Source organism: Homo sapiens, chromosome 12, assembly GCF_000001405.40.
Source record: "Homo sapiens chromosome 12, GRCh38.p14 Primary Assembly".
Taxonomy (NCBI): domain Eukaryota; kingdom Metazoa; phylum Chordata; class Mammalia; order Primates; family Hominidae; genus Homo; species Homo sapiens.
Window position 1 is genome coordinate 98,226,527 of NC_000012.12, and position 20,919 is coordinate 98,247,445.

The 20,919-nt window shown below is 37.2% G+C and overlaps 2 annotated features.

Moving 5' to 3' along the window:
- Positions 974–1,143: an enhancer, noted in NCBI's record as "experimental_31288 CRE fragment used in MPRA reporter constructs". NCBI's record gives its function as "activates a minimal promoter by MPRAs in K562 erythroleukemia cells, with activity observed for the introgressed 12:98621363 or rs10777915 variant allele {active_cell/tissue: K562}" and the evidence as "EXISTENCE:reporter gene assay evidence [ECO:0000049][PMID:34662402]".
- Position 1,059: a transcriptional cis regulatory region, noted in NCBI's record as "Neanderthal adaptively introgressed variant 12:98621363 (GRCh37/hg19 assembly coordinates) or rs10777915 in the experimental_31288 CRE". NCBI's record gives its function as "modulates activity of the experimental_31288 enhancer by MPRAs in K562 erythroleukemia cells {active_cell/tissue: K562}" and the evidence as "EXISTENCE:reporter gene assay evidence [ECO:0000049][PMID:34662402]".

The window sequence follows — 20,919 nt, forward strand, 5'->3', positions numbered from 1 at the left end:
TCTCATTTAAGCATCTCAGCCATTCTATTCCCATTGTACAGGTGAGAAAACTGAGGGTCAGTGATATGATTTGGCTCTGACCCCACCCAAATCTCATCTTGAATTATAGCTTCCATAATTCCCACATGTTGTGGGAGGGACCCGGTAGGAGATAATTGAATCATGGGGTAGGTTTCCCCATACTGTTCTCATGGTAGTGAATAAGTCTCATGAGAGCTGATGGTTTTATAAGGGGAAACCCTTTCACTTGGTTCTCACTTCTTTCTTGTCTGCCACCATGGAAGATGTGCCTTTCACCTTCCACCTTCCACCTTGATTGTGAGGCCTTCCCAGCCATGTGGAACTGTGAGCCCATTAAACCTCTTTTTCTTTATAAATTAGCCAGTCTCAGGTATGTGTCTATCAGCAGCTTGAAAACGGACTAATACAGTCAAAGAAGTTAAGTAATTTGTCCCAATCACCTAGCTTTAAATTGCAAAGCCAGAATTTGAATATATTTAAGTCTGATTCTAGAGCCCAAACTCTTAAACTTAAAACTATAATAACCTATAACTCAGGTTGAAATCATTACAATAACCATATGAATCAGGCAGATCAAGGAAGCAATGGTCCCATCCTAACTTGGGTTCAAGGTCCAGTTCAACTGTGGGACCTTGGTCTTTAGCGTTCTCATCTCTAAGATAGCATTAATAAAATCTACTTTGTAGAGACATATGAAATCAGATGAGTTCATAAAGAAAGTGTTTGGCACAGAGTCCGTATTTCATAAATAGTAGCTGTAAGCTATGAACTTGCCATGAGCGCTTCTGTTCCGGTAATGTTCCTGTTGGCCTCCAGGGGATGCTCAAGCTTCTACTTCCTCCTCTCACAACATCTAATAGCAGTTCTTGACCTGACTATGCATTCAAATCTCCTAGGGGTAAATACATAACTGTGTACGTCTGCATTATATTTATAAAATATGTATCTGTGTGTACATACACGTATATACAAACACATACATGTCCAGGGAAGAAGACAGGACATCTCTCTTTTATAGGTTCCCTAGCATAACACACCGCAGCGCAACCCTAATGCACAGCAGAATTGAAAGCCACTGCAGTCGAAGAACAGCTAGGAAGGGTCAAGGCCAAGGACTTTGGAGATGATGCAGCTAGGAAATGGATGTTTCTGAGGGAGACGTAAAGTAGTTACAAGTTCTAGTGCCCAAGTTTGGAGTCTGTTCCTTGGGAACCCTTTATTTTAGGTTCTGTCTCTTTGTAGGAGCCCTCTCTTGGCTTATTAAAATCCTAGCCATACCCCAGCTCCTGGACTCTGAACTTGCCTCTGCCACTTTCTTGCAGCCTAGATTCCCTGATGAGAGGCCCTGACTCCCTGCAGGGACCCACCTTGTCACTGGTGCTGTCTTCAGCTAGTTCTGGGTAGAGGACGTGGATGGCCACAGAAGCGCCAGGCCTGCACCTCATGGCTGACCTTCCAGTAGCAATACCAAAGTGCAGAACAGATGTCCTGCCTTTTATTATTTTTTTTTTAGACAGGGTCTTGCTCTGTCACCCAGGCTGCAGTAGAGTGGTGTAACCATAGTTCACTGTAACATTAACTTAACTTAGGCTCAAGCAATCCTCCTATCTCAGCTTTCCAAGTAGATAGGAATATAGGTGCATGTCACTATGCTCAACTAATTTTTCAATTTTCTGTAGAAATGGGGTCTCACTATGCTGCCCAGGCTGATCTCAAATTTCTGGGCTCAAGTGACCCTCCCACCTTGACCTCCCAGCATGCTGGGATTACAGGCATGAGCTACCACACCCAGCCTAGATGCCCCACTTCTATCCACCCAAGAACATGACAAGGACCAGATTGGTCTTGCTTCAGCTAAAGACCCCTTTAAGTCCCAGGCTGAGATAAGACTGCTAGAAGCAGAATCTCTTTCCCCAAAACGAAAAATAAGCATGTCTTAGAGTTATTGACTACTACAGGCTGATCACACACTCACAGTTGAAAATCTTGTCCTTGTCTACCCTCAGTTTAGCTGACAAGGCCATTAGCCTGCCCCAGATGGGCCTGCTGCCCTCATAATGAGCAAAATGTAAATATTCTTTCCCCTCCCCCTTCCTCTCCAGGTTCTTCAGCTCCTCGTTTATTATTTTCCCAAACTATGAAAGACCCGCAGAGAAAAGCATGCTCACTACCCTCCCCCTGCCCTGAATTAGGAATCCAAACAGTTAATAAATTATCTGGATGCAAATAAGAGCCTGACGGTTTTTGTTGTTTTTTTTTTTTTTCATGAGAGGTGAAATGTCCCCATTTATTCACTCACTTGTCACTCAAACGGGGCTGAGCACGTATTCACCAAACTTGGCAGCATTTCACTCTGAGACTGAAAACAAACATGATAAATTTCTCCTCCAGAGATAATTCTGGTGATGTGTATAGGCCACTGAAAATGAGAATGTTATGACTTTAGCGCTGTGATAATATATGGTAGTAATTATATTAACAAGGGAAATTACATCTCTCTTCAGCAATTTCAGCTCATACCACCCATATGAATAGTGGGCAGCAGCAAAAATGCTGAAATGGTACCAGTAAAATAGGAGGAGCAATATTTGCTGAATTTAGAACCTACTTTAATCACTTTTTTAAACTGTATTGAGCTCCTACTATGTGCCAAGCACCCAGTGAGCACAGTGGGGAACATGAGGATGAATCAGACATGGTCCATGACCTTAAGATGCTTACCACACATCAGGGAAATAAGAGATCCACATACACGATTGTAATGCCAGGTAGGAAGTGAGAGATGGTCAAAGGAGAGGTGCAGATAGAGTTCTATGAGAACTGAAAAGAGGAAGCTGTCGCTTCTAGATGAAAGTATGATGAGGCTCTGGCTTGCCTGGAAAGCAATCAGGCACCCCGGAGGTGATGGACAAGCAACACCTTGCAGTTTTCCAGCATCAAGATAGGATGCAGATAATTAACACTGGAAATTCTGCCCACTGACCTAGCCCCAGAGAATATCCACCAGAATGCTCCACAGTTGGATGGCAATGAAAGCAAACCCCATATTCCATAGCTTCAAAAATCCTTCTGAAAAGCCTTTCACCAAGAACTTATAAATGTGTGGATTAATGGACTATAAATAGGGATTAAATGCATGAGCAAAATTCCATAATTCATTCTGAAGCTTTATTGGAACGAAATTTGAGATACTCGCTCTGTTCACTTCTAGCAATTTGATCAGCTTTTGTTTTCTTCCTCCCATGTGCAAGAAGACATAGGGAATTCCAGAAGAAATAAGACACAGTCCAGACCCAGGGCCTTGGAATCTCATAGAGGAGAAAGAAGCATGCCCAAAATAATCATAAAGATGATCTTCTATTTTAACAACATGATCTGGTGAAAACAGTATATGGTTTGGAATCAGACAGAATTGGGCTACATTTCTGCTTTGAAGCCTATCAGCTTTGTAACCTAAAAAAAAATTATTGACTCTCTCTAGATTGGCATCCCTTTATCTGGAAAGTGTTCAAATCTTAGGACTGTGGGAAGGATTAAATAGTATAGCATTATGGGAGCATTTTGTCTAATGTCTGCAGACATTTAATGAATCTGTTGAAAAATATGTGAAAAATGGGATGTGTCATAAAAAAATTATAAAGAAAATCGGAAAATTATCCTCAAAGAAAGAGACCATCTAAGAATTGGAAGAACAGGAAAGGCTTCATGAAGGTGCCATTTGAACAGGATCTTGGAGGACTGGTAGGGATTTGTCAATATGTGGTCCATTTTGGCTTAGGAGGATGGAGTAAGCATGGCTGTGCCGAGATATGACGCTGTATTTTTAAGTGGCTAAAAATTCTGTATGGCAAAATATTTGGCTGAGTGATTCACTCCAGGCAAATCAGTAATTAAACACGTATTGACCCCAAAATATCATACCCTAAATAATTAAAAATCCAATCATGGCCAGGGCAAACAACACCAGACAAGACAAAGAATGACAATTCTTCCAGAACATAGAAAAAAAGAGCTTCAAGAAGCTAACATAACATTTATGCCACAATTTTTAAAAATTCAAACAAAAGACCAATCCTTCTTACAAATATTAATGTAGAAGTACTGTAACACATGGAGAAACAGAATTCAGAAAGCATTGTAAAAGGATAAAACATCATAACCAAAGGGAATTTACTCTGGAATTGAAGGAAGGTTAGGGTTAAATATTAGGAAATCTATTTATAAAATTCAAATTTAAAAAGTAAAAATTGTTTAAACAGATGAGAGGAGAAACATATGACCATCTCTATGGGTACTAAAAGGTCATGTGATAAGATATAATCTCTATTCTTAACTTTAAAAAAACTGATAAAATATTAACAGACACCTCATTAATATGATAAATACGTAAACATATATATTAACACAAAAGTTAATATCACGATTAATAGGGAAATACTAGTAGATTCCCACTAAATCTAGAACAAGTTCACTTGTGCCATAATATTTCATATTACCCTGGAGCATCTAGCTAGGCAATGAAATTAGGTAAATGAAATAAATGACAGAAAAAAAATGATTTGCAAATAAAATGATTGCCTAGAAACCCAAGAAAATAAACTGAGGAATTATTATAAACACTAAGAGAATTCAGTATGGTACTGCTAAAAAAATTAATATATAAAAATCAATAGCCTTCATGTATACACATAACAATTACAAGAAATAATGGGAAAGACCCTCATTTTACAAAAGCAAAAATATATGTAATATACTTATGAATAAACTTTACAACAAATGTGCAGGAGCTATATAAAATAGTGTTAAAATGTCTTTAAGGGCAGGCATGGTGACTCACGCCTGTAATCCCAGCACTTTGGGACGCCGAAGCAGGTAGATCACCTGAGGTCAGGAGTTTGAGACCAGCCTGGCCAGTGTGGCAAAACCCCATCTCTACTAAATATACAAACATTAGCCAGGCTTGGTGGCGGGCACCTGTAATCCCAACTACTCGGGAGGCTGAGGCAGGGAGAATTGCTTGAACCCAGGTGGCAGAGGTTTCAGTGAGCTGAGATCTCACCACTGCACTCCAGCCTGGGCAACACAGCAAGACTCCTTTAAAAAAAAGAAAAAGTCTTTAAAAAGGCCCAAACAAAAGTGATTTAAACTAATGGAAAGGCAACCACATTCTTAGAAGGAAATCTTATCATCATAAAGATGTTAATTCTCATTCCGATTAGTAGTTTACACAAACCCAAAAATCTACCAAGGGGATTTTTTTGGAAATAAAATAACTGATTTAAAGTTTATAAGGGAGAAAGAAGGAAGAATAGTAGAAGATTCTGCAGGGAAAAAGAATTATGATGTAAGATTAGCCCTACCAAACATTAAAATGTAAAATAAAGCTACAATAACTAAGTAATATGGTACAAAAACATAAAACAAATATGCAGATAAATGAAAGACTAGGAAAGACCTGAGAAACACTCAAAAGCATATTGAAATGTATATATGCTAAAGATATTTTTGAATCAATGGTAAAGATAAGATATTGAGGATAAGTGAAACCTGGAGCTGGTTTCACTTCCCAATACTATTGGGACAACAAAATATCCATCAGAGAAAAACATTACATTGGATACCTACTTCACAATTTCCACAAAAATATCTCCCAAATGGATAAAAGATTTGAAGGTGAAAAATGAAACCTTAAAAGAATTATAAGAAAAAAGGAAGAGGCATTTTATTTTTATTTTTTATTATCTTCAAGTGCAGAAAGGCATTTCTAAGGATTATTTAAAAAACCCAAAAGTTATTAATACATTTGACTACATAAGAATATTTAAAGTCTCCATATAGAACAAAAAACAAGTTACAAAACCAACCTGAGAAAAATTTTTGCAACTCATAACAAAAAGATAATTTTTGTAGTATATGAAGAGCATCTACAAATAAATAAGTAAATGATGAATAATCCAATAGAAAACAATTAGCAAAACATATGAACAATTTACTAGACAAAATATAAATAGCAATGTAAATACATGAAAAACTGCTCACCTTATCCATGATAAGAAAAACGTAAATTCAAACTGCAGCTCTATATTATTTTTCACCTAACAGATGGGCAAAGATCTGTAATGTTTGATAAAACACTCTTAACAAGGATGTGGGGAAATAGCCATTCTCTTACATTTCTAATGAAATTGTAAATTGCCACAACCACTAAGGAGAACAATCTGGTAACATCTATCAGCAGTTAAAATATCTACACACTTTAACACAATTGGATTTTTAAGGAATCGATCCTGCAGCCACCACAAATTAAATGCCATATGTTCAGAGATATTCACCACAATATCATCCCTTTGACAGGGGCAAAAAGTGTACTTTTGGACTGTTTGAGAAGGCCCTATTTATCACACACACAGTAAATCGATTAAAGAGCACAAGGCACCTTTGTCACACAAGATCTGGCACTTAGCACAACATGGCACAAATTGTAATCCCAAACATCTATTCATAGGCCAAACACCATTCAGGTCCCAAGGAAAAACTTCTCCACATTCTTTGCACTATGTCTTCAAAATGAAAGGCAACTGTGTCCAAATACTATGGAAATTTGTGGGTTTTGCCACTGCAGGGAAGAAATAACCACTGCTTTGAAAAGCAGGAAAAATGTAAGCTATGGAAACATTCAGGCAAGAGCAAAGACAAATTAATTAACTTGTCCAACCTTCTCAGCAGGAATGCAATAGATTTTTCCCCCCTTGAGATGGAGTCTCACTCTGTCGCCCAGGCTGAAGTGTAGTGGTGCAATCTCAGCTCACTGCAACCTCTGCCTCCAGGGTTCAAGTGATTCTCCTGCCTCAGCCTCCCAAGTAACTGGAATTATAGGCATGCACCGCCACGCCTGACTAATTTTTGTATTTTTAGTAGAGACAGGGTTTCACCATACTGGCCAGGCTGGTCTCGAACTCCTGACCTCAGATGATCCACCCACCTCGGCCTCCCAAAGTGCTGGGATTACAGGCGTGAGCCATCACACCCAGCCTGCAATAGAGTCTTCCATTCTTTCTTTATAGCTGATCACACATGTTCTTGCTTTTTGTTTTTGAGGTTTTCTTCAAATTATGATAGTATCCACAGCAGCTGCTGAGTAACAATTGGTTGAGGAACATTTTCCAATGTAAACAGTGAATGTTACTTATTACTTCTAATTGTAGCACGATATGGATTCTTTACAACTGGGCCACTGAATGAACACTGAACACCAGAACTAAACAGTTTTATTTTTATACTAAATGAGATTTTATTTAAATTGAAACATTTTAGTAATGTAATATTAATGTTTTAACTAAAATATTAAATGAGATTTAATTACATTTTAAAAATAAATATCTAAGGCATTCAACTAATTTAAATTTTTATTTTTTATATTTCATCATCAAATTTTTTTTTTTTTTTTTTTTTGAGACAGACTCTCACTCTGTCGCCCAGGCTGGAGTGCAGTGGCATAGTCTTGGCTCACTGCAACCTCTGCCTCCCAGGTTCAAGTGATTCTCCTGCCTCAGCCTCCTGAGTAGCTGGGATTACAGGTGAGTGCCACCGCATCCGGCTAATTTTTCTATTTTTAGTAGAGATGGGGTTTCACCATGTTGGCCAGGCTGGTCTTGAACTGCTGACCTCAGGTGATCTGCCCGCCTCAGCCTTTCAAAGTGCTGGGATTACAGGCATAAGACACCGAGCCCAGCCTAAAATTTTCCTTTTTAAAATTAAAAGTTTTTATTTAGATGGTTATTGTAAAAAAAAATAACTTTTTGAAGACATAAAGATTAATTGTAATCAATATTTACATTATTTAATAATATTTACATTTTGACAAAAATGTATACAAATTTTGTACACTTTTCATTTTTTTTTTTTTTTTTGGAAACAGGATCTTGCTCTGTCACCCAAGCTGGAGTACAGTGGCACTATCATGGCTCACCACAGCCTCAGCCTCTCAGGCTCAAGCAATTCTCCCACCTCAGCCTCCTGAGCAACTGGGACCACAGGTGTACATCACCACACTCAGCTAACTTTTTTTTTTTTTTTTTTTTTTTTTTTGGTAGAGATGAGGTCTCCCTATGTTGTCCAGGCTGGTCTTGAACTCCTGGGCCCAAGTGGTTTTCCTGCCTCAGCCTCCCAAAGTGCTGAGATTACAGACCTGAGCCACTGTGTGGGCCTCAATTACATTTTTTATCCAAAAATCATTATTGTCAATAGAACACAAGTATATGAAAATCTTGACTATAATAACGTAATAATTTTCCTAAAATTAAGTTGAGAAGTTTTATAGAATATATAATAAACTGTTAATTACATGCTCTATTGTTAATCCAAATATTGGTACTTCATTGCCAGAATACCCAGACATCTACAATAACAATTAAGTTTAGTTTTCTATATTTTGACAATGTTCAGTTGTATAAAATTATAGCTTTATGCACATTTTTCCATTTCCATTTTAACAAATATATTTGTCAAAGTAAAAGGATAGGACATATTTTAGTTACCAGTTTGTGAGCTTGATTCCTAACTTTGAGCTTGATTCATAGCTCTGACACCTTGTGTGGGGGCTCCATTTCTATTCCTGCCCTGAAAACCACAACTGTTATGGGAGGGTCTGAGTGCAACACTGTGTACAGTAGAAAAAATCCCACTGGATACTGAATGTCGACTATCATGGCACTTGCTAAATATACTATGTGTAAAATGTTTTGTTTAGTTCTGGCTGCTATAACAAATTACCATAGACTGGGTGGCTTCAACAACAAACATTTATTTCTCGCAGTTCTGGAGGCTAAGAAGTTCAAGGGCAAGGTGCAGGCAGATCCAGTATCTTGTTAACCAGGGCCCACTTCCTGGTTTACAGATGGCCATCTTCTGGTTGCATGCTCCCATGGCAAAGCAGAGAGAGAAAGCAAGCTCTCATGTGTCTCATTATAAGGGCACTAATTCCATTCTTGAGGGCCCCACCTGCATGACCTAATTGCCTTCTAAAGGCCCTGCCGCCTAATATCATCATGTTGGAGGTTAGGATTCCAACATATAAATTTGGGAGAGACATAAGCATTCAGTGCATAACATTTTTAGAGGATGTATATGTTTGTGTATTGGTAGATATATGCAATATCTAGAATGATACACAAGAAACAGGTATCAACAGTTGCTTCTGGGAAATGAAACCTTCCAGAGTAAGGACTGCAGTGCCCCTAACACCAGAAGAGTTGCCATAAACATAGTAGATGCAATAAATAAATGTGTCAAATGACTCAATCAATCAATCAATCAAAAAGGGGAAAATTGACAAGGCACGGTGGCTCACACCTGTAACCCCAGCCCTTTGGGAGGCCAAGGCAGCTGGATCACTTGAGGTCAGAAGTTTGAGACCAGCCTGGCCAACATGATGAAACCCCATCCCTACTAAAAATAAAAAAAACTTAGCCAAGTATTGTGGCAGGCACCTGTAATCCCAACTACTTGGAAGGCTAAGGCAGGAGAATTGCTCGAGCCCAGGAGGCGGAGGTTGCAGTGAGCCGAGATCGTGCCACTGCACCCCAGCCTGGGTGATGGAGTGAGACGCTGTCTTTGAAAAAAAAAAAAAAAAAAAAAAAAAAAAAAAAAAGGTGGTGGGGAAATCAGCTCATGAACATTTTACTAATTATCCTTTTGTATATGTTGAATTTTGAACCATATACATGTTTCCCTAATTCATGGGAGGAAAATTCCGATGACTGATAAATTTCAACATTCCAAGTAGTTCTGATATTATCACCTCACAACAAAATTCCATCAGACTCTCTTATCCTAACCATAAATTCTACTATTCAGTGTCCTGAAATTGGAATTATCAGTGGACTTATGCATACTACAATACACCATTATCTTATATATGTCTGGTTCTTTATAGCTAATCACATTCTATCATAAGCACAGTGTGGTTCATATATGGAGATTTCGAGAAAATGTCAATATCTCTAACTCACAGATAAAAAACCTGCTAAAGTTTATGCAACTTCAGTGCTAAGTTCTGTTCACTTTCCATAACCCACATGGTTGTTATAAAACACATTCATGGTTGATTGTTTACATTGCTCTGGAAAGACAGCTTTATTCTGTGGAATAGACAGTAGATTCACTTCTTCACTAAATGGTCAGCATCCATTAATGTTACAGCATCCGTTAAAGCTGAATTGGGAGCTAGTTCCAAATTCACACTTTCTGAAGAGAAAACAGAAAATGTGTTTTGCCTTCTCTATTGTTTATTTTATAGTGTCTTGGTTTAGTTATAAACTTTGTCTCATAATTATAGTAAAATGTAACAGGTTTGCCTGAAAAATCTTCTTAGGTGATGAAACTCGCTTTTTAAAAAAATCCTTTCCTCACCAATAATTTTTTTCCTTTGTAATCTACTTCCCTCTGACTTTTTATTTGAAACATTTCTTCTTTTAGGGTTACATTATCACATTTTCCTTAATTCCATAATCCTTTCAACTCCCTCATCCTTTATGCACTGTGTTTTTGTATCCTTTTATTTTTAAGTCCTTTTCATGTTGTCTCCCTTTTGTTTTATTTCCACAGGAGCTTTTATTGTCATCTTAGTCTTTATTTTTCAGCCTGACCTACGAGCAAGGAAATGAAAAGGGAAAGTACCGCAGCCACGCTTCCATGGAAGTGGCAGACAGGTGCCAAAGAGTACATTACATTTGGAGAGAGGAAAAAAAAAAAAAAAAGGCTGGATCAGGGCCTGATTTGTTTTTTTTCTTTTTGGTCTCCAAAGTGTAATACCTTTGAAGATGAAAAATAATGACATTTACACAGGAACATATATAAAAATGTGTCTTGGTGAACATAGAAATGCCGAGAAAACAGGTTCCTTTAATCAGAATTCTGGTTCAATGTCCAATAGACCCAGTCAAATTTACTCTGAAGGCATGAGTGAGAGCATCACCCTGTAGGAAGCCAAAGTTGACAAATTAACTCTGTCTCTATCTTGAAACCAGCTTACTAGTAAGTGAAATTCAGAATTGCACCTGAAGTTTGTTAATGTTGATTTAGATGAAGCAAGCCCAAACTCCTTAAAGATCTCTAGAGCAAGATACCTCTTCGATAAATCAGTAAGAGTGGTCACAGTATGATTCTCAGACAGAAAGATCAACAATCAATATTAGAAATTTTGACAAATAGTTGTTCCCATCTCTATTTAATAGGCATTTTGGTGTTTCAGATCCAGCCGCTTACTCACACTCTTTCCCTGGAGCTCATACTCATTTAATTTATCTTTCACCCGCCTGTCTTCCCACAGGCAGTGCCTGCCTCTTGCATCCATCTATAATGCTACCCCGATTACCTCAGAACATCTAGAGCAGCTACAGATCAAGAATGAACAATTAGAAGAAGAAATGATCTCTCTTGACTGGGAACACTTACATTTTATAAGGTTTTTGTTGCCTTTGCAGTGAACCAATCTAAATCTGAAAATTTATCTCACAAAATCATGACGAGGAAAAGCGAGGCAGTTGTGTGTATGTGTCCGTGTATGCATGTGTGTGTGTTCATAAGTGTGTGTGTCTCTGTGTGAATGTATGCCTTTGTGTCTATATTTGTACATGTGCCACAAAAAGGTAAAAAGGAAGAAAATCAGTAAATCAGACAGTGTTTTAGCTACCTGGTCCTAAATTTCTAGTTGTTTACAAATATGTATGATTGAATTTTTTATTTAAAAATGAAAATCTGGATGTTAAGCATACATAGTAAATGTGAACAGCTTTCCCTTTGCCCTAAACTCTTTTTTTCATCTACTTTTCCTTCCCTCGCCTGCCAACTTTCACCCTTATTTTCCTTTTCCTATCTGGTATTTCCTAGATGTTCTGTTCAGTTTAATTTATCCAAATGTCATACCCAATAAGTTCCTGAATCTCCACTCCATTCCGGCTGAATTATTGTATTACTTTTAAATAACTTGCATCTGCTCCTGATTCTCCCATCTGCTTCTCTTCCTCTTTACTTTCTCATCATGAGGCCTGGCTCTAGTTAGGGACAGTGGCCAAGCACTAACTCAAGCAGTTACTTCATCAGGCCGGACTTCACCAATTTTTCATTTCTGAGCTGCTGACACCAAGTTAGTCATCCTTCCTGAATCTCTCTGAAAAAGCTGGCCCTAGGCAAATTTGTAAAGTAGGTCAGATATATGAGTGCTGCCATACACACTTTCAGTGCTTTCTCATACACTTTTGTCACCCTTCTGCAGGGGTACCCCATACATTGGACTTCGCAATTTTCTCCCTTTACTCCCATCCTTCAGGAAGTCCATATCCAGTGTCCTTTTTTCCATTGCGTCATTTCTAGGAGAAATCTGGTAGAAAAATTCTAGCAAAATGTTACTCATAGACAATAAACATTTAGTATTTCATCCTCTATGGAATGAGTTTCAAGATTTATGTTTCTGTGTTCTGTTGTTAAGATAGGCACGTGGGGCAGTCCCAGCAAAGTCATCAGCTGAAACTGTGAGTTGAGGCACTTGTAAGTAGAGTTGGCTGCTCTCTTAAATGCTAGAATTTGAAGGAATTTGATGGCATATTTTAAAAAGAAAGGAAACTAACATTTCTCAAGTTTTTGCTACATGCCAGGAGCAAGCTAGATTTTACCCTCATTTTAACCAATGAAAAGGTAGTATACTTGCCCATGCTGAAAAAAATAATATGGCTATAAGAAAAAGAGATGAGATTTGCACCTGGGTATAAACCGGCAGCATAGTCCCCCAAAAAATCATATGGCTGTAAGAAGAAGAGATGGGATTTGGACTTGGATATAACCCAGCAGCAAAGCACAGTGTTCTGCTTCACCTTTCTGCTCCTTGGGTTCAGGACCATAGAATGTTAACTTTCCTCCTTTTGGAGTTTCCAAGCACCCAACACACATGAAGTAAGCACCATTTTATGTATGAAGGTAAATGAGTGGAAGTGAGTAAAATCTTGAGGTGAATAGGGAATGGTTGCTACAGCATAGTCTGGATCAGAGATATGACCCAAGAAGTGTTCTGCTAGGACACTATCTTGAAGTCTTTGTAGCACATGAAATGGATCTCAGACTTTACACAAAAGTTATAGGGGAGCCGGTCATTCTATAAGCTATAAAGCCTATAAGATATAGGCTTTAAGAGGGACAAACCTAAAGTAGGGTGGCCAGCTGGGGAGCTACATTGCTATTAGCCAGGCAAGACCTGGTAATGGGCTCCAATGAGGTAATGAAGGGAGAGGGAAACAGTATTTAGGAGGCAAAGTAGTAGGACTTGGTAGTCACTTGGATTTATAAGGAGTAGAGCAGAGAAAGAAATCAAAGATGTACATTTTTACTTTGTGTATTCCCAAGTTCCACAACCTTTTTCTAACTCAAGGGAAACTATTGTAATATACTTAGATGCCTTAGAGCAGATTCCCAAGCTAAATTTATAATTATTTGGAGCTGGCAAAATTCTGCCTAACTTAACCAGTCATGCGTTCAGTAAGCATAATTTTTGACCAGAAAAAATACTGCATTCTCACAATTAAGGTATGATTTAGTCCTAAGAAAGGGCTAGAATTCTCTTATTTGGAATCTTGTCTTTTCCTACCTCAAGAGGTGTTCCTGACAGAGACAGTCTTTATAATTCTTAGTTATGTTTATGGCACTTTGATTTTAGAAATCACTCTAAACACAGATATTTCCATAATAAATATTCCCAACTGCCATCCTTGGAAGGGGTAATTTGATTAGTGGTATTGTATTGAGTTGCATTATAATTGGTTTCTTCAAATAAAGCCTATTACTACACTTAAGAAAAAGAAATCAAGAATTAATGTCTAGGTGATCTGCTTTGCACAAAAGTGATAGCAGGATGGGGTTAACAAGTATTTATGGAGAGATAACTGGGAGTGATGAGCTCTCAAGTTTTGATGTTTATTAAAGAGTTTATTGGAATCTCATAGAGCAGTAACAAATGATCTAATAAAACAAATAAGATTAAGCAGTTCCAGTAAACAAAATTACACTAAAACTCCAGAAGAGTAGAAGCAAACCATTTTTATTTCTTTAATTCCCACAAAACTCATATTAATATTTCCAAATCTTATAAAGAGTTCTGGAATGAGGAATTTGTTTAAGCATGGGCGAAAGTGTTCAAATCATGATTCATGTTATTCATGAATTCATTTAATGGACTATTTAGCCACGTTGGCAAACTTTTAAAAGGAAAATAACTTTTGCAGACATAATATAAGGGGAAAACCTCTGAAAACTCAGCCACAAATAAATGGTGTAGGCTGGCACTGTTTTCTTAGAAAATGAAAACAAAGTAAACAAACTCGAATTAAAGAGAGGAGGTGGGGTTGGTTAAGTTAGAAAAAAACAACTTCCTGAAGAAAGAAAGGCTTGCTGAAGGAAGTTATGAGACCTTAGGAGATGTTACCAGCAGGCTCCTTTGCTGATCTTTCTAATGGAAGTTAATGGCTGCAGAGCAAACACAGGCAGACAGGGCAATGAGCAGCTTCCAGAATTCCGAAACCTAACATGGCCCAGAAGCAGAAAAATGACTGTTGTGTCCAAACAAGGTTCTAGCTAATAGAGCAAGCAGCCTGAAAGAGTCAGATGGATAGAAACAAGGGACATCTCAGCAGCAAAGGGGTGGACCATGTCCTCATCCAACAACAGACATCTCACTGGGCTCTTTTGTCTACAGATAAAATTAAAGACCGAAGACTCCCTAGATATGGTGCTGTTATGTGAAACACCCCAGAATCTAGGCAGTGATGATATATTCACTGATACTGAGTTTCTACCACCTTGTCAATGGGGACTTGCACTATAATTAAGTTGTTCTAGGGAAATAAAGACAGTTCTCTTTCTTGCCCACCTGAACAGTGGACTGGGATTTATACCTGCTGCATGCGGGAATTTTTGTGCAAAAATATTTGCACCAAGAATTTAGGGCCTAATTATTTTGAGATGTTTGGCCAGATGTGCAGGATAAGGTGGACTCTTAGAAGCCACTGTTAATTTTAGAACAATTGAGAGAGACTGATGAGACAGAGTTTAAAAATATAACACAATTCTTTAAATCTCCTAAGCAGATATGGTCAGCTTGGTAGAAAGAAAAGAAGGTGAATGCAGTCTAGTAACAAATCAAGAAAATTTATTGGGACCCAAGAAGGTACCCAGAAAGGCAGCCCCATTGGTGGTAATTTTTAAAGACCCCATTTGTGGTCCTACATTTCTGAACCTCTTTCTGGATGGGGAAGTGTATTATGAGATGCATGGGTATGTCCTCCCAAAAATTAATATATTGAAACTCTAACCTCCCACTCCATTGGGATGGTATTAGGAGGTTGGGCCTTTGGGAGGTAATTAGATTAATATGAGGTCATGAAGGTGAAGCCCCCATAATGAGTTTAGTGTCCTCTGCCATGTGAAGAGACAGCAAGAAAACAACCATCTGTAAACCAGGAAGAGGGTCCTCAGCAATAACCTAACCATGCTGGCACCCTGATCTCCATCTTCTAGCCTCCAGAACTGTGAGAAACAAGTGTTCGTTGTTTAAACTACCAAGTCTATGGTAATCTGTTACAGCAGCCCAAACTGATGAAGACAAAGGGCAGTTCCAGGGGGACACATGAGGTTTGCAATTAGTGCAAGACTTATGTAGGTTCCTAACTGTAAATCAGACATTGAGCTTTGAATTTTATCTCTGGGCTGCTTGGCACTCAAAAGAAATATTGATATAAATAAATTACATGACTAAGAGCTTTTTTGGAAAAAAAAAAAAAAAAAAAAAGCAATATATGCCAGTTCTTCCAGACACCAATTTAAAAAAATTAAAGAAATATATTACTTTTGCCCTTATTTCATGGATACGGCTTATTATAAGACACAATGTTTCCTAAAATGAAAATGCTTCCTTTTACTCAAAAAATAAAGGTAAAATTTTTATAACTATTTCTTGCTTCAACCCTTAATAAAATCTTAAATCTTAGTATTGTCATCCATCTTTGCTATATTTATAAAACCATCTATTCTTTTGTTTTCTGCTAGAATAGGGTCTGTAACTTATTACAGAAACCAAGTTCCCAGCACAGTGGCACATACAAGGGCTTCCCAAATGTGCTAAGTTTTATCAACAGTAAGTGATACAGTGGAATTACTTTGATGAAGAGGGGTTGCTGACCTATACTAACAAACTCCAGCTATGTAAACTGTAGGGATCTGTCTTAGTCAGCTCAAGCTGTTACTAACAAAATACCATAGATTGGGTAGCTTAGTTCTCACAGTCCTGGGGACTGGAAAGTCCAAGATCAAGGTGTCAGCAGATTCCATTCTTGGTGAGGGTGCACTTTCTGACTGGTAGATGGCTGCCTACTTGGTGTATCCTCACATGGTGGGGAAAGGAGGGTCTGATGTCTCTTCTTCTTCTTTTTATAAGGGCACTAATCCCATCAAGGGGGCTCCACCCTCATGACCTCCTCTACACCTAACTACCTTTCAAAGGCCTCACCCCTAACACATTGGGTATTTTAGGACTTCAATATATGAATTTGGAGAACACAAACATGCAATTCACAATAGGATCTAACTTGAACTATCAATAAAACCTAAAACACCAAGGGTCTTTTAAGCAGTTATCTTTGCTAATACACATCAAACAGAGCTTATTATATCTACAATTTCATTTCTAGATACGTAGAAATGTTTTCTTATTTTGCACTAAGGCAACAGCAGTCTTCCTACATTCATAGATTTTTTTTTTTAGTGGTGGATCTTTGGTTCATTTACAAAGTAAAATTTGCTGAGTCAAGGTAAAAGCATCTAAATGTCTTAGAAATATAGCCCAATCACCAATCCAATGATTGAATGTGTAAAAGAATCTATTTTCATACCTTTGTTAATTACACAACATGGACACCAACTAATCAGAATGGATACCAGCTATAAACAAGTGCTATGATCATCTGGGTATGTGTCAGGAAATATCTGTGGGTTACCAATGGGTTTAAAACCCAAAGTGCTCAATAGCTATATGTTGGATGACATTGAACTGAACACTCGCTGCCATGCTATAAGGCAAAAACTGGGTTAAAGGCAAAAACTGACTTTTAGTCATTAGGTATCACTCCTGCTGCCTAGTACTGTACCTGATAAATAGTAGACAGTGAATAAATAAATAATTGTGATTTTATTCATACAGACCTTTCTAGAAGTAACAGCTATAAGAACATTGCTATCAGAATTTAAAGTCTTTGCTCAGGTAGAAATTGATTTCTTTTCTTAACCTTTGAACCACATAGACAACAAAGTTATAGATGTAATTTGAACCTCAAAAGGGCATTCCGATTTTCCCAGTACAATTAAATGTTGGGACTAATGAGGCAGAGACAATATTTTCTTATACAAACAATTTTTCAAGTATACAGGACAGTAGCATCTAATGACTGCTACCAACACAAAATCACCGGGTGGCCAGCTTCTATTTTATGCAGTGAGGTTAGCAATTATTCTGTAACACTTAATTTCCTGTTACTAATGCTTTCCCCGAAGCACTTAAGCATGATGGCCTTATGAATATAGTTATTAGTGGAACCTCACTCAGTGTTTGGATTCTTTTAGAAATTTGATAAAGATAATATTCTCCCAAAGGTTACTGTCCAGATAACAAGTCATTTTATCAGCAGGCCTGAGCTTCAGCCAGCTGTCATTAAGAGTGTCTTGTTAACCAGTGAAGGACTTTGTAGCTGGGTCAGGGCCGTTGAAGTCTGGGGCAAGGTTGCTAAGGTAACGAATCTGTCCAAAGACTTCTCTCAGGATCAACCTTTCATCTTGTTAAATTTATATAAGCAAAGCACTGTGAGAAGAATGCTAATACACCAAATGACAGAAACAATTGCACAAAGATATTTTTTAAGCTTGCTAGGTGTGTGTTTAAGCTCCTTTCTAAAGATACAATTTGTGTGGGTTTGGAGAAGTTCATAGAAATGAGCTAAATTACCCTGGGTCCATATATCGTTTACATTAGCATGAGAAACACATGGCTCTACAAAGCACAATTTAATTCAACTATACACATTGATTGAGTGCCTGCTTGGTACCTGAATTCATTTTTCAGTGTTACATTTGAGTCTGAGAAGAATTAAATTCTAAGGAAAGTAAAGCTTAGCGCCCTTCCAAAGAGTCCAGATTCAGTGACATAGAATAACTTCAGTTCTTACATTAGGGAGTAATCGTGATGTTAAGCATGAGGTTGTTATATTAAAAATATATAGGACATCAAAGACTAATGGGGTCATGTGAGAAGGATATGAGAACCGACTTGAACCGCCCCTTCTGGCCTGAGATGGGACAATGTGAACATCAAAAAGAATAATGATAGCAATGGACTTAAACATATCGAATACATAAAAATCCGTGAGTTCATACTGGTACTAAAAACAGAAAGACTCACTGGCCACTACTAGAGGTTGCTAAGGCCACCAACTCATTACTGAAATTTGACAAATAATGGAAAAGAATGAAGCATATATTTTGCCTTTCCTGCATGAACTGTATTCCTACATAACCAAATAGCTGATAAGTTCTTTAAAAATAATTTCATGTAATAACTGCATATGAAATAATAGGATTAAAAAATCACCATTTTGCAACACTTAATGAAATAATGAATTTAGACAACATATATCAAGGAGTGCCAAAACAATTAGATGAAAAGACTGTGGGGAACTTAATGATGGAGGGATTATGTTGACAACTCCTGAACTCACCAATCACAATAACATTAAAGATGGGACAATCAGACATGAGGTGTCTCATTATGTAATGCAAAGAGAAGTGCACACATCACTTAAGAAATAGTCTTGCCTAAAAATATTGAACCTAAATCTAATCAACCCTCTAGTTCTAACTACGAGGAATAGAGGAGGAAGTTAAATATCACAATCTAAAAATTGGGACATTCCAAAGACAAATGACCCAGTTTCCCAAAAAAATAAATAGCATGAAAAGAAACCAGGGAGGGGAGCTGCTTTAGAATAAAAAAAGCTGTAAGAGACACAACAGGCAAATACAATGAGTGGGCCTTTTATGAAATCTGAGTTGAATAAATCAAATGTAAAACAACATCTTTGAGAAAACTGAAAAAAAATGGATATAACAGACTTAAATGATATAAAGTTATTATTTGTGTTAGGTATAATATTTGCTGGTTACATTTTGAAAGGTTTCTATCAGTTAAAGATGCATACTAAAGTATCTACAGGTGAGATAAAATGGTATCAGGGATTTACTTTTTAAAAAGTAAAGAAGTTGGATAAAACAAAGTTGGCAAAATGTTTATAATCATCAAAATTCTGGGAAAAGAAAAAACTGTGGAAAACTGGGTGCCTGAATTACAGTGTTGGAACTGTCTGACTAGTATGCTTAAAACCTTTAATATTGGAAGAACCAGTAGGGCCTGTCTATTGCTTATATAAAATATTTTTACTACTAGCAAGAATCCATGCTGAATAGAATCAGCTAACCTGCAGAGCTGAAAAGTTTATATTTGTCCTGGCCTTTATTCTGAAAGAAGACAACATGTCAATTCCTAAGGATAGTCTGAACTCTAAAACTTGTCCTTATCAGAAAATATGAACAAAGGAAGAATTTGATACAATGGAAAACACTGTCCCCGGATAAGGTTAAATGATTTGGCAACCCAGAAGAACATACCATCTCATCACTGTCAGTTACCTCTGAGGAACCTAAGCTTTCTGCTAGTTCAGGCTGCTACAAAGCAAATGAAGCAGCTTCCTTACCATGCCAGATATTCAGGTTGCTGACCTCAACACAAAAAAGCTAAAGGTTAAAAACCAAAACCACATTGCAACTCTTCCTATTAAGTTAAACTGAAAATACAAAATAAGTATTGATGAGATATTATTTAAGATCTTCTAAAGAATTAAATTATTTAGAATGTGACAGTGATACTATATAAAGAGCTCTTACAAGTCAATAAAAAAGATGAACACCCCAAAAGAAAAGTGGGCAAAGGACACAAAATCAATAGAAATATAAGTGGCCAATAATAAACATGTTATAAATGATTTTTTCCAACATTTAAAAAATCAACCTCAAAGAAAATCAATGAATGCAAATTAAGACAAGGAAATACCATTTTGTCTATCAAGCTGGCAAATGTTTTCAATGATAAATAGTATTGACTTTTTTCTAGGAAGCAGTTATAAAAATTGGTTCAACATTTCTAAAGGTCAATTTGACAATATGTATCAAAATCATTACCTTTGAACCAAAACTTCCATTTTCTGAAATTAATCCAAAGTAAATAATCATGAAAATGCAAGAAGAGTTAAGTAGAAGAAAGTCCATTCCAGTATTGTTTATAATAGTAAAAATTAAAAATAACATAGATATTCAATAATAGGGATTGGTTAAATTATGATGCATACATGAAATAGAACACTAGGCTGTTATTAAAACTATCCAACTATCAAATGATTCAGAAACATGTCTATACTGTTAAATTGAAAAATAGGATTATTAAAAGTAGTATGTATGTGTGCATATGTAAATGTATGCAAAATAGCTACCAAAAAATATTTACTTCTAAATGGGAACTCTCTTTAATGTGATTGTAATTATTTTACCTAGAGTGTTTACAGTGAACACATTAAGTATGAAAGCCATGTTTTTAAGACTGGAAAGAGAACTTTCTAAGCACTAGCTTCACTGCTCCAACTGTGCTCAATTGTTCTGTTACTCAATCTGGGTTTATTGTACCCTACTTCCTCACTGATGGAACATAGGAGGGAAGCCACAGCCTGCCATTTTACCTGCTGGCCCCACCAAGAGCCCTAG